This window comes from Homo sapiens, chromosome 12, assembly GCF_000001405.40.
Source record: "Homo sapiens chromosome 12, GRCh38.p14 Primary Assembly".
Lineage (NCBI taxonomy): Eukaryota > Metazoa > Chordata > Mammalia > Primates > Hominidae > Homo > Homo sapiens.
This window is the reverse complement of record NC_000012.12, coordinates 102,966,214-102,981,538: the sequence shown is the minus strand read 5'-3', so window position 1 is coordinate 102,981,538 and position 15,325 is coordinate 102,966,214. Positions and strand designations below refer to the sequence as shown.

Genomic DNA, 15,325 nt, shown 5'->3' with positions numbered 1-15,325 from the left:
GATTTCAATTTTCAGTGTCTACCCTAGAGACAGACTCATAGGTGTATGATGAGGTGTTATAAAAGAGGAAGGCATTTGCATGGACAGTCATCAGGCAACATTGGTTTTGTAGCACAATGACTATCTCTAGGATGTAAATGCATACTTTGAAACTTTGTGCACCTATTTTTTTAATGAGGTGGATTCATTTGTACTGACCTAGTACAAGACATACATACATGAGACATATTGTTCGGTGAAAAAAATTTTGCAGAATGACATGTAAAGTATAACATCATGCATACTTCTATGAAACACATACAGACAGAAATTAGTTTCAAAGCTTCATATACATAAATACCTTAAAAAGAAAAAAAAGGCCAGCCAGGTTCAGTCCTAGCTGGTGAAAATGACTCCCTTTGGAATAAAGATAGGAAGCTATAACTATTCTCTACAATGCCTAAATTGTTTGCAGTGGGAATTAATTTATTTATTACTTGGAAGTTAAAAATAAAAATATTTTTAGAAAAGAGGACACCCGTACCATGTGTCTATTGAGTATTGTACAGATTCCAAAAATATGTTGCTGCCTTCTAATTAGAATAAGTAGGGAAAGAAAAAATAATTTTCAAAGCAAATATATACCTGAAAAACATAGAAATTTGGAAATTTGCCTCACCCAGTAGCCAAGCCTAATTTTTTAAAAAAAGTTTTTACATGTTTTTCTCTCAAAGGTAAGCTCTCCAGAAAGATACAATTATCAGACCAAAAATTATCATTTTAATGCTTTTTCTAAACATACTAGGGCATACTTTATGCCTTAGATTCCCCTGAGTTCACATGGCATGACCTTGACTTCCAGTCACAATGCTTTGACACAAAGAGAGAAAAGTGAAGTCTGGCCATACAGTGAAAAGCAAGTGATTTTTGATGTTTAGAAATTTCAAAGAAAAATCCATCCACTAATCATCCAAATGGCACAAACTTGATCAATGGGTTGCGTAACCACAAAGCCTACCTCAACTACCTAACTTTGACTCTCTTAGTCTGGCATTGACTGTTTTTGTATGTAAATAAAGATGGAAGCCATGGGTCCCTCAGCCTCAAATGTTCTCTTCCTCCCTTTGTTGTCACCACCTCATGTCATTCAGTTCTATTTCCAAAAATGTAGCTCACTTTCTTCTGGTAGTCATCCTGGAGATGATTTTAGATAGTGCACGGATAAACATTTGTCATTTTTTCAATTACACACATATATATGTAATTACATATATTATATAAAGTACATATCAAATTTGTGACATATAACATACAAACAAGTAATTTTACAGGTACTATTGACTAGGACAAGAGTAAAGTAAGAAATTAAGTGAAAAGCATGATTCAATATTACATGAATATGACAAACATAAGGAAGTGTCATTTGAATGAGTTATGTGTGAGAGAAACTGGCCGTTAGCATCTTACAAGTTTTGGTGCTCCGTACCAAACATTTTTCTTTGTGAAAAATGTTTTTCACATGTCCATCTCCTCCATATTTTGGCATGGATTATCTTGCATGATGAGTACTGTGCATAGAACCTAGTGCATAGAAGGTTCTTCATGAGATAATGCCTGGGAACTTGATGACAGTTACTTGGCTTGACTGTGTGCATTGTAAGGTCAGCTTTCTTAGTGACAAACAGCTCCCAGAAATGTTATGGTGGAGCTGACCCACTGCTCCCAAGGTTGAGTGTTTCTCATCCTTGACTGCATAGAAGAAACACCTGGGAGCTTTGAAAGCCCTCCATGCCCAGGCTACGCCCCACACCAATTAAATCAGAATCTCTGGAAGTAGGACCCAGGAGTTTTATTTTTCTAATTATCTGTGTGCTTTCAACATGCAGCCAAGGTTGAAAACCACAAGGCTGGGTGATAAAGTCACCATCAGCTAGCTAAGTGACTGAGAGCCAGTTAGTCACAGAAAACGACAGCATCAGTGGTCTTATAGACCATTAGGGCCTTTGCTCTAGAAATGTTCTCCTTGCCTGAATGCTTCTCTGTCAGATATATGCTTGGCTGACTCCCTCATCTCCTTCAGGTCACTGTCAAATCTCACTGACCACCATATTTCTGACTTTGTTCTGTCCCCAACCTCCACCTAATACCATTCCTATTTCCCCTTATTCTGTCCAAGTATTTTCTTTTCCATAGTGCTTATTATCCTCTAACATATATAATTTCCTTATTAAATTATTGTTATTGTCAATGATTGTCTCACCCCTCTAGAGTGTGAGCTCCTTGGGCACAGGGAACTTTGTCTGCTTTCTTCTCTAAATATCTCAAGAGCCTAGAAGAGTGCTAACTACATGGTGAGTGCTCAATAAATATCCGCAACATAAATGAAAATTCAAGCCAGAAAAAGCCTGCTAGATTGTTTCTAAATCCAACATTCTCATTGAACTGATGTGAAAACTGCAGCCCAGAGAGGAGAAGAAATGCATCCGGGGTCGCAGAGCAGTGCAGCGACTGACCCAGCACTAGACCCAGACTCTGTGACTCCCAGTGCAATGCCCTTCCACTCTAATAAACAATTTTACTGTTTAGAAGTGTGTGCACAAATAGTTCCAAAGAGCAAAACTTTAAGCGGAGCCTTTGTCTCTGCCTAGGTTTTTCAAAAATCTACTCTTTGTTTTGAGAGGCATTACTATCATTAGACCTTGATGAATCCAATTCAAAATTTGGGAATACCACTGTGCTGTCTCTGGAATCACTCAGAGCCTGGAGACCATACAGAGAGATTGATTTTTACCAGCCCATTTTTTTTTGGAGCCATTTTTGTTTGTTTTGTTTTGTTTTCCCTAATCTGGGCTTAAATAAAGAAGCTGCAAGATCTACGCTTTGAATTTTCTAAATGAGCCTGCCGCTCATTGCACTTTTCAGCAAGATAAGGCCCGAATGGCATTTGCAGAAATGCCTCCCTATCTCTCCAACAATCCGGCTCCTCTGCGGGCCCCTTGGTAACAGCTTGGCAAATCTGCAAAAGGAATGCGACTATATAGTTTGTGTGTGAACCGTGGAGTTATTATGGTTTCCAAATTGCCTAGCAGGTCATTAATCATAGGCCAAGATAGGCCATCGCAGCAGCCTGGAGTGAAAGCGCCCAGCATAATGCCAGCGAAATCATGTTTAACATGCAGCTCTTGCCGGCACAGATATGGAAGGGGAGAGGGAAGGAAAAAAATCATTCCCCTTTTAGGAAAGAAAACTTCTACTTATCTTTGATTTGCATTCAGTCCTCCCTCAATAGTCCTTAAGCCTGTTATTTAATTCATTTTGGTGACAGGGTTCATCACAAAGCAAAAACCCTAAGCGAGACCTATGCAGTCTGTGACCTCCAAACCCCCTGTCTTTTCTTGTCAGTTCTATGTCATTTGTGCAGTTGAACTCCACCAATTTGAAATGCTGACCTCTTCCATAGACAACCTTATTCTCCTCGAGTGAAAGAAAGGCCCCAGGGCCGACAAACCACTCAAGCGGGAGATGGCAAGAAAAGAGAAAAGTGGTTGACTCGTAAATCAATTTCCACAGCCCACCCAAAATCCACACACACATTGAATTTGTATAATTTTTTTTAAAAAAATTGCTGAATGGGTTTATAAAGAAGGGGGCACCAAGAACAAAAATAAAAAGTTATGAATTGGGGCCAGAAAGAAGGGAAGTTAAAATCCTGCTCCCAGTGGGCCAGAACAGCTCTTAGGGTCCTCCTCTTTTTTTATACCTGGACTCCCTGAGGTTGTTTGAAAAGAAAAGTTGAAAACAAAATGCAGGAATAAAGTTCCATGTCACTGGCAAAGGCAACAAAAGAGAAGGGGGTGCTGAGACTACCAGAAAAAAAACAGGACTTAAGCTATAGAGTCTAGGAGTTGCTAGGCCAAAGCTTGGGATATATATGACCCATCTGCATGGTGCTGTACATGTGCACATATACTCATATTCCCCATTGCTGGGCCTATGTCCTGCATGCCCAAAAATGTAAAACTCAACAACACCCTAAGACCTGTCGTTTTACATAGCCAATGTTTTTTTCCTACCATATCTGTCACCTCTCTTAGATTTTAGATTTTTTTCCCATCAAAACCAGTCATCAACTATACAATTATACTACACAATTTTTCCCAAAAAACAGTCATTAACTATACAATTATTTAATTGAAATCTACATTTATTGAGCACCTACTGTGTTTCTGCCCTAGGCATTGGGAATATTAAACACAGTACTTTTCCCCAAACCCCAATAATCTAGTGTGAAAATAAAACATAAAAGTTCCCTCATATGGAGAAAAAAACAGAATAGACATACAAGTTTCTGCTTTCCCACATGAATCGGTTTTGCTTAGATTTTTCTCTCTCCACCCCCATTTTATTGCTACCAAGATTTTTTAGACTGAGAAAAAAGTCCCAAATCCGTTTGCATTTTGCTATAGACAGTTCTTTCTGTTCCCTAGACCTCCTGACACCTAAAGAGAACAAAAAGAATAGTTCCCTTCTTGTGTTCTGAAAATTGAGTTTCTCTCATTATGAAGCACACACTAATGAACCCTTTTATTTCAGTTACTTTCAAGATTCGTGAAACATTGTTAGACAATTAATGAGGATTCACAAATTGTTATAGCTGAGTGAGATAAAGCATCATGGAGTTTCCTGGCTACTTTTCTTTAGAGCTATTGTTCTCAGAGCTACAGAATGCTCATTGTAACTCCTGGTGGTCAATATGAAAATTTTCATCCTTTCTCTTTTTGATACAGCAGAGTCTACTTAATAAAAGTGATTCCAGGAGTTCTTCTGAATTCTAAACACAATTCAAATTTCTTTCGTTTTAATAAGCTTTTTCACTTTAGGAAATAAAAAAGGAAGGACTATGCACAAATAAATAGAATATTGTGATGAGGGCAACTACGTAACAACAGAATACGGTCATCCCTTGGTGTCTGTGGTGGATTGGTTCCAGGAACCCCTGGAATACCAAAGTCCACAGGTGCTGATATACTACAATCCCTGATATAAAATGGCATAGTATTTGCATATAACCTATATACATCCCCCCTTCTACTTTAAATCATCTCTAGATTACTTATAATACTTAATACAAGGTAAATGATATATAAATAGCTGTTATATCATTCAGGGAATAATGACAAGAAAAAAATCTGTCCATGTTCAGTACAGATGTAATTTTTTTTCGGATATGTTCAATCTGAAATTGGTTGAATCCATGGATGTGGAACCCATGGCTATGGAGGGCCAACTCTGTGCAAAAGTTCCAGAGAAAAGTGATTAATCTGTGTAAAGTGGGATCAAAGAAGGCCTCCTGGAGGAAGTGATGACTGAGACACCAGAGAAACAAAGAGGACATATGCAAAGACACCAAGATGAGACAAAGCAGAATGTGTGCAGAGAGGACAAACAATTTGGCATTGCTGGGGGATAAAGGTCAACAGGGTGGCTGGAGATCTGGGTGGGACTGAAGACAGAGGCTAGGTCATCAAATCTCTTATCAAGCATCCATTAGAACAGAAGTTCCAGGTGAGTAGCCAGCACGTCTGCCATACTCGGCATCACATCAACTTTGCCTACCATAGTACTGGCACATTGTAAGAGCTCCATGAACATTTGTGGGGTGAAAAAAGTAACTGCAATCATGGGCAATGGGGGAAACCATAGAAGTGTTTTAAAAGATCACTTTGGTGGCAGTGGTGTGGTCTGTGTATTATTTTAAAAGTACTCTAGTGGCCACAGGGTGGAAGATGGATTGGAGTGACAAGAATAAGAACAGTATTTAAGAGGCGAAGGTCCAGGGAGAAATGATCAGGTCCTGAACAAAGGCAAAAGCCATGGGGTTGAGAAGGCAGGAGCTGAAATGAAAAGGGCATATAAAAGGTTTGGAAACAGAAAAAATTATGTCTAAATCGTGCATCAGTTACATTTTCAAATAACATTCTCAGAAGTTTCCTCCAACCTCAGGACATCTTTACAGGCAAAATATCTCTAAATGTAAAGCTTTATGGGTCTAATCATTAACTGGGGGAAATAGTTCAACAAATCATTCTAATATTTCCCCATTTTCTAGACTTTTAAGACATCATATAGAATCTTTTAGATTTATTGATGCTCACTGGGATCTGGTAGAAGAAGATGAGAAAGGATACAAACTACTCTTGGGTTTCTGGTTGAAAATATTGTGGGGATGGGGGTGGCAATATCACAAATGAAGATTTGGAAAACAAGTTGGGCATGCTCTTTCAACCAACATTTTTTTCAGAGCCTAAGAAGCACTTAATGAGAGCTAGATTTAGGCCCTTAGAGGTTCTAGGAATGGAAAAAAATAAGGAAGGCTGGAAATGTAGTTCAAACACCAATGCCAGTGCTGTCAGCTAAAATGTAGATCCTAGTAATGAAAGGAACTAGATAGAGAAGATTCTGCCTGGCCTTGATGGTTTGAAATTTTTGCAATCTTCAAATCTAATTGAGAAAATGGTCTTTTGAGGGAACATACTTGCCATTCTCTCCATGTTTTTTAATCTTGAATCTCCCAGTTATGAGTGGTATCATCTTGGGCAAGTCATTTAATTTTTTTGTTTGTTTTTGAGACAGAGTCTCACTCTGTCACCCAGGCTGGAGTGCAGTGGCACGATCTGGACTCACTGCAACCTCCGCCTCCCGGGTTCAAGCAATTCTCCTGCCTCAGCCTCCCAAGTAGCTGGGATTACAGGCGCTCACCACCTCGACCAGCTCATTTTTTGTATTTTTAGTAGAGACGGGGTTTCACCATTTTGGCCAGGCTGGTCTTGAACTCCTGAACTCGTCATTTGCCCGCCTTGGCCTCCCAAAGTGTTGGGATTACAGGCTTGAGCCATCGCGCCCAGCCTAAGTCATTTAATATTTCTGAGCCTCTGTTTCCACCATCTATAGCTCAGGGGGTTGAAGAAGGAGACCTCTAAGGTACTTCTACCTTTAAACATTCAGGGATTCCATAAATGAAATTGATGACACCATGTTGGGAAATCTGACCCTACTGTTCAGAAAACTTAAAAGTTCAGACAATTAAGGAGGATGAAAAGTATTGGAAGCAAATGCCCAGCTCATGGGTGGGACCCACAAATTCATTAAAAATGGCACTTGGAGTAAAATCTACAGTAGACAGAGCCCAAGTCTCTCCGAAACCCCATACCCACTGTGCCCCTCTTCCTTACTCACAGAATCCCCCTTGCATTTTAAGCAGTGACATTCCTGGCTTAAAAAGTAAAACTCTAGCCACATTTTAGAAGACAGCAGCTTTCAGCTGGCCTGCTCTTTTTCTCTTTATCCTTCCCCTTCTTGCCTAGAAAGCAGACATTATCTGGAGATGGGGCAGTCATCCTGGGACCATAAGGCAACAGGTTAAACACTAAGGATGGCTGGGTGGAAAGCTAGTCAGCACCTGTGACCCTGAAAGCACTGAGAGCCATCATAGTAACCCCAGTGCATTCCCACATCCAGACTTCTTGCTCAGAGAAAAAGGAAGAAAGGAAAGAGGGGAGGGAGGAAGAGTGGAAGGAAGTGAAGGAGAGAGGAAAAGAATAAGAGAGACAGACAGAGGGAGGAGAAGAGAGAAAGAAGGAGAGAAAGAAGACAGGCAGGAAAGGAACAAAGGCAGGAAGGAAGGAGGGAAGGAAGGAAGGAAGGAAAAAGGGAGGGAAAGAGAGAGGGAAGGAAGGAAGCTGGAGAGAGGAAGAGAACAGAGAAGGGGAGGCAGAAAGTAGATAGAGGAGGGACTGAGAAAGGAATGAAGGAAGGAAGGGAAAGAGGGAGGGGGAAGGATGGAAGGAAGAAAGAAAGGAAGGAAGGGAGAGGAGGGAGAGATTGAGGAAGGAAGAGAGAGGAAGGAGGGAGGAAAGGAATGAAAGAAGAAAGAAGGGAGGAAAAGAGGGAGGCAGTGGGAGGAAGGAAGGTGAGGAAGGAAGGAAGGAACAAAGGAAGAGAAAAAAGAAGAAAAGAAAGGCATGAAGAAAGGAAGGGAAGGAAGGAAGGAAGGGGGGAGGGAGGGAGAAAGGAAGGAAGGAAGGAAAGAAGGGAGGCAGAGAGGGGGAGGGAGGAAGGAAGGGAGGGAGGAAGGAAGGAAGGAAAGAAGGAAGGAAGGAAAGAAGGAAGGGTGCATCCGTAATTTGGTTTTACTATCATAGGTTGGGTTTTCTGCACCATCAACCTATTTCTGATAAATATGATGACTGACCTCTTTCATTTAGTGATGAATAAGCTCATTTTCCTGCAACACTTAGTATGCTTGGGAGCTACAGATATAATAAATGACTGCTTCCAGTAAAAAATCTTGACTACAAAGAGGAACAAAACTAATTGTATGTCTTCCAGGACAGAGGCCACATTTTATACACCTCTAGCCCTATTGCCCAGTGTAGACATGACAAACTTTAGGACCACAATTCCTATGGGTTAAATAAATGATGGAGAGAAGGAAAGTGTCTTTTTCCATCAAAGAGTTATTCTATCATTTTGACAGCAAACATTTACACGTGATGATTCATCATTAGATTGATTCTTTCTCCTTCCCAGGTCAACTAAATCAGTCTATGGGAACATCACATGGAAACCACAAGAAGTATCTGCTGAATTTCACCAGTGTGGCATGACATGCCCTTAGGAAGAAGGTAATACCCAGATTCCTGGGGTAGATGAAGTGCCCTTGTGATACCATCCATGGCAAGGAAATATGAAACTTGCCCCAAAAGGTGTAATAATGCATCAGGGCTGAGAAGAGGAGCACTTGGGAGCCTCAGAGCAGAGCCTGGGTGGTCATGCAGGAAGGCATAAGGTAGGAGAAGGCACTTCTTCTCCCTCCTTTGTTCTGCTACACTCCCTACCTAGAGGAGGTCTCAACTAATGCCCAGATCTGAACTGAAATTATGTTTAAATGCAGATAGTTTACATATTGTTAACCCCCTAACTGGGAAACAGTTTTCACAACAAAACCAACAGTTACCACGGGCAACATAACCGAATGAGAGAAAACATCTTGCTAGTGCACAGTTGAGTGAATTGCTACTCTCTCTGCCAGCATCCATTTCCAGCCACTCCTTGAAGGACAGTTTTAAAGTTTCACCTAGTTATCACCATCATCATCACTCTAGAGCAAGGATCAGCAAAGTACAATCTGGAATCAAATCCTGTTGTTGTAGGTAAAATTTTATTGGAGGACAGCCACACTCATTCATTTACATATTGTTCCTCGCTGCTGTTGCACTACAGTTGCGGAATTGAGTAGTTGCTCATGAAGCTGAAAATATTTACTATGTCACCCTTTACAAAACAGTTTGCAGATTCCTGATCTAAAAGATAGTTGTATTTTCTTGTTTGTTGTTTTGTTTTATTTTTGGCTGCCCAGTGTCTGAGTACACTTCCCTTGGGTATTCTTAAGCATTTTGAGAAAAGTTTAAAAGCAGACAAGGCCACTCACTTTCCTGGCCTTCCTTGCATCTACGGCTCAACCATTCTGAAGCTCTCACCATAGTTGTGGACCTGACGACTAGTGACACAAAGAAGCAGGGACAGAAGATAATCTGTTTTGGTCCCTGTAGTACCTGGGGCTACAGCAAACCAATTTCCAGGCTGTGGCACCATCTGCACCAGCAGTACATCCAATGTCTAGACCTGGGGATGGCGTCAGTACAAACAGTGGGAACCAGAGATCAGAAGCAGTGGTGGTTGCAGCCTTATCCAACTATTCTGGGAAATGGTTTTAATGATGGTTTTGGCTGCTTCTCAGCCGTACATTTTCTAGTCCATGTTCTGATTCTGGAATTAGCCTTTTTAGTAATTTTATGAACTACCCAAAGCTCCTTCTGTGACTTTCTTTCTTGTTTAAATTGACCAAAGTCTATTTCTGTTGCTTGTAACTGAGAGCTCTGACTGATAAAACCACCTATTTTTTTCCACTTGTACATCAGTTAGCAGTTTACAAATCACCTTCATATAACTGTTTTTGTCTTGTGACAACCCTGCAAAATGTGTTTACGCCCACTAAACAGGTGACGAAACTGAGGTTAAGTGAGGTTGAGCAATCTCATTATGTCAACACTGGGATCTCTTTTGATAAAAACAAGGAATCTCTTTGCACTATGCCAAGCAGGCAAAAGTCCTTTTATAGCATCACGCTTACTGCTTTTACTTATAAATTAAGCAAATACATCCCCTCTTCAAAACCAGCAGAGTCCAGAGCTCTGTTAATGCTTACCAGCATCTTGTCATTTATTTGCCTCCTTTATTCCCATCCAGGTGGCTTTATTTTTCATTTGAAAATGTCATTGCCACATCATTAGCAATGCACTGTTACCTGACAGTAGGAAGAAGTGTCCCTAGGCCATATGGCTGAGTTTAATCTACATGGTCACGGTGTAATCCCATTGAAATGGCTTCCCTTTGCAATCAAAACCGAATTTCACACTTTACCAAGATGGGGGCAGCTCTTGTCTTCCCCAGAGTAATATAGATCTCCCCAGGCAGCCAAGGCCAATGGAAATGGCTTTCTTCTCCGGGCTAGCAGCAGGTGGGGGGCAGGGCTGAGAGGTCAGCACAAACGGAAAGAGACTGGAAAGGAGAAGCAGGACCACTGGGGGAATCAGAGTCCAAAGTAATCCTTTGCATTCACCTCCAATAGATTACCACTGGGGACATTCAATCCATGTAACTTGGGAGAAGTAAATTTAGAATAAGCCCTCTTTATGGAATTAGAGGCTTTATCTTATCCACAATTGTTATTTCTAAAATTTTCTATCTGATTTATCTCCCCAGAAAGGCTAAAATTAAAAACGATTGTCTACAAACTAGCCTTATATCAGAGAAACCTCAGTTAATTAGAATCTCCAGAAATATGTATTTTAAGCAAACCTCTCTCCATTTATTATAATGCTACCAGTCTTAGTCCAGCATATGATAATCACTGCTACAAATACATAAGAAAAGAAAAATTGAGTGTCACTAGTGATGTAAGCATAATTTTAAAAATGAGAAATCACTTTTAAGAAAACTTACCAATTGGTAAATTTGTTGGTTTAAACTATAATAAAACTTAGTGAGACTGTGAGGAAATTTATACTCATATCACTGACCATGGAATCATAACTGATTGAATCTTTCTGAAGGCAATTAAGAAATATTAAGCAAAAAGCCTCCAAAAGACACATTTCCTTGGGCAAAGCAAGTCTCCTTCTGTAGATCTGTCCTGAGGATATAATCATGGAAGTGTGTAATTGCTTGGTTATAATGTTTTTCATCATAGAATTTATTCACTAAGGGCAACATATTTTAAAAAAGAAATTCCCTTGTTTAAAAACACACAGATTTGTTAAGATGTTATTGTACCTTCAATCAACATTTTAACATTTTAAATCATGTTGTAGAAGACTAATGATACAGAAACATGTAACTACTAGATGTTTGAGTTTCTGTCTTAATGGGATGACATAAACTGTAAGGTCTGGGACCAATTTGGTCTTTTTCACTACTGTACCTTGAGGGCTTACAACAGGACCTGGGAAAACATTTGTTGAATAAATAACTAAACTAATTAATATTCATATTTTAAGTAGAAAAGTGAAAGATCTGATGCTATTTTATAAAAATAAATAGATGAAAGATAGATGATAGATAGATAACTAAATGTTGACTAATACTCTCTGGTTAATAGAATTATATGTGATGGCTATTTTCTTCTTTTCATTTATGTATATCACAGATATATTTCTATGGTAATAAACGTAAATCTGCATCACCATTTAAAATTCTGCACAATATACTATTATATGAGCTTGCAAATATTAATCTATTTATCTATTTATATATTTATTGAGACAAGGTCTCTAGCTCTGCCACCCAGCCTGGAATTCAGTAGCACCATAGTGGCTTGCTGTAGCCTCAACATCCTAGGCTTAAGTGATCCTCCCACCTCAGCTTCCTGAGTAGCTGGGACCACAGGTATGCACCAGCACCTTCAGCTAATTTTTGTAGAGACAGGGTCTCGCCATCTTTCCCAGGCTAGTCTCAAACTCCCGCACTCAAGCAACCCTCCTGCCTCAGCCTCCTAAAGTGCTGAGATCTCAAGCATGAGCTGCTGTGACCTGCCTGCAAATATAGTATTTATTTGAACCAATACTCAAGATTAAAGTTTTGGGTTGTTTTGGGTTTTTCACCATTATCTTTTAAAAAAAAATACGACAACAAACACCTCTGGCTATGTATCTTTTCAACTTGTCTGATTTTTTTTTTTTTGCCTTACAAAAAAGTCCCTAGAATTAGAATAGCATGTCTGTTTTCATCTATAGAGGATCTCCAGCAACAAATTAGCTGTTTGTTGAAATGTATACCCTGTTTAAACAGCACAAAATAAATCCCCCTCATTTCTGTGTCCCAGTGACACAGGGACATTCCTGAGAAAGAGGAGATGGATGTAAAGCAGGCCTCTTCTTAGCCACCCCAACAGGAGAAAGAACATGCCCTACACGTGTTGCTCTGTCTTCCAAACACAGCTTCCATGTCCTCAGGAAGTGGAGACATGAGTGGTCTGAATGCTGAACCTGGACTAGTCTAGCCAGATCATCCTCCCAAGCCTGAGATATTTGGTATTATATTTTCATGGATTTTCAAGGGGAAAAATATCATCATTAGTTTACATGAAGCACCATTGGCTACATCTCTGTGGTTATACCAACTCTAGAGTTTTTATTTCAGCAGTCCTATATTATGTGCTTATGTGGGGCAGGCTTATGGTTGTTTCTAAATCTGTCCTATGTATCAAATACTACTGCATTCTGAACATATTTAGACAATGTAATATTTTCATAAAATATCTGAAAAGTAGACCTTGTGTTTACATTTTTGGCCTCCATTATTTTTGGCCAACAGTCCATGAGGTAATTATTATATCTCAAAAACATAGTCTGTCTTCTGGAAAATGAAGTTTGCCCAGAGAAGGAAAAAAAACCAGAAATGTGGGAAAGACAAAGAGGGACATGTGGAAGATCATCCCCGCTCTCCAGAAACGAAAACATCATACAAGGACTCAGTGAAAAGCTAATGACCAGGAAGCTGACCAACTTTTGCAGGATTATCAAACATTTCTGGGATTATCAACAGCAGTTTTTCTTGGGTTTTTTTTCTCCATTTTTAAAAAATTGGTGTTTTGGAACTGAAAGAGCTGATTGGTGGGTAGAAGCAGAGGGAGACAGTGACAGCAATCTTGGAAGTTTGAAAACTGAAGCAAATTTTAATAATTTCACTAGTGTCCCATGCAGTGGAAATAATGACTATCCCATGAATATGAATGGTTTTGTGAAAATGTTCCTTCTAAGTCCTGAGGAGACCAAAGTTCTGAATCACTCCAGAAAGCTCAGAAGATATGTCTCCTGGAAGGAATCACAGTGGCCAATTTTAACTTCCAGTGTTTATTTTCTCCTAGCAAAGTAGTCACATCTTGGGGCTTCATTTTTCTGTTCCACAAAATGGGGTGATAATTTCCTACCTGCTTCATCAGGGAGAAGTAACACCCACATCATTTTGCTCTTGCTGGAAGATGATGGCTCACTTCTTGGAAGCCCTGAAACTCTTCCACAACACTAGACACTCTTTCCTCTTTCCTTCTTTCCATAAGTTTAGACCTGTGAACATGATCTCTGCTTTACCTCATTCTATCTTGGTGGCACGAACACCACGGGACAACAGTATTAAAAATTCCCTGACGACTTAGCTATGGCATAGCATTTTTGTTTCACAGATGTAAGGCATGTGTGATATATATTTTCTTGATACACAAAAATAAAAGACTAATACCTATTTCATTTTCAACTGGATTTTCTTGAGCCTGTGTTGGATATCATGCTAGCAACTTTTGCAAAGTTAATCTTATTCTATCTTTATCATTACCATAGAAGGTAGTTATTATTATCTCCACTTATGCAGATGAGAAAACAAAGGTTCCACTCCCGAACTAACTGATGGTACATAAGAATCCCAACCAGATCTCTTCACGCAAAGTTAAATATCTTCCAGAACAAAATAATGTTCAAAGAAAACCAAAAGGACCTTTCTAAGGAATTCCTCCCTTCCTCCTTTTTTTCCTTTCTTTGTATCTTCCTCTTCCCTTCCTTCCACAAGTTTATGAGTGTCAAGGACATGCCAGATACTGTTCTAAAAGTGGAGAATATTCTTGGTAATACAAAGAAGATGGCAAAGAACATGCTCAAGTATTGGCAGTGCTTTCAGAAGCAAGCAAGCATAGAGTTGGTGTCTGGATCTTATTGGAGAAACTAAGGGCTGGATTATGGTGGAAGGGGAATGAAATTTGGAGTCAGGCAAATCTGACGTCCAATCCTGTCTGCCACTACTTAGCTGTTACAGACTCTCAGTTTTATTCACCTATAAGATAAATATAATAATACACCACCTTGAAGGATTGCTCTGATCATGAACAATGTAAGATCCCTGGCACTTGAAAAATGCTCAGCAAACAGGAAATAAGGATGTAGCCATGTGTATATATTTTACCCATTCCCATTGTAGGAAAAGGTCCTGCTATACTGCCCTGGTCTGGGTGGTCATTCATCTGCCCACCTGCAGTACTATCTTGTATGACCTCTCCCAGGCATCCAACACAGCCAAGCCTCAGAAAGCAGAAGCTGGGGGCATCTCGGTGCGTCAGGACACTGCGGAAACTGCACTAGGACAGGCTCCATCTCCTTTGGCTTGCAAATCCCCGCTCCTTTGGCTGGCAGGCACTTCATGGGGTGGAGGGCCAATTCGCCATGGCAGTTTGTATCTGCAGCAGGCCTGACAGGCTGGGAGAGGAAGGCGTTAATGTTTTCTGACAGGCGACCCCTAATTGTGGGAGCTTTTCTTTTCGGCCTTTCTGTGAAATTCTGACTTAGGCGAGCAGCATAACCAAGTGGTAGGGCATTCAGCATGGCTTGCACTACACTGAGTTGGGAGTGGGGGGGTTTGGGGTGGTGGAGTGGAGGAGGGGGGTGCTGGCCCAACATTATTCATGAAGACTTTCAGCTGTTTTTGTCTTTTAACTAACCTTTGAGTTTGATCAGAAGGCTGGCCGGCCTCCCTTTTGCCAAAGGCCCTGCTGGCACCTGGACAATGGAGACAGACTGTTTTTCCTAGTAAAGAGAGATAGCTGGAGGAACCTAAAAGCTCTGTGTACTGGAGGGGGGTGGCTGGGGAAAGGACACGCCAGCTTTACTTCTGTCTGGTCTTCAGGAGTGGGGTGGTTATTGATAGAATTTCCAATTCCCCCAACAGAAGCAGCCGCCCTCTG

At 40.3% G+C, this 15,325-nt stretch overlaps 1 annotated feature.

The window, feature by feature from the left end:
• Positions 2,707 to 3,968: an enhancer, noted in NCBI's record as "VISTA enhancer hs1114". NCBI's record gives its function as "enhancer in: neural tube[4/6] | hindbrain (rhombencephalon)[6/6] | midbrain (mesencephalon)[6/6]" and the evidence as "EXISTENCE:transgenic organism evidence [ECO:0001131][PMID:17130149]".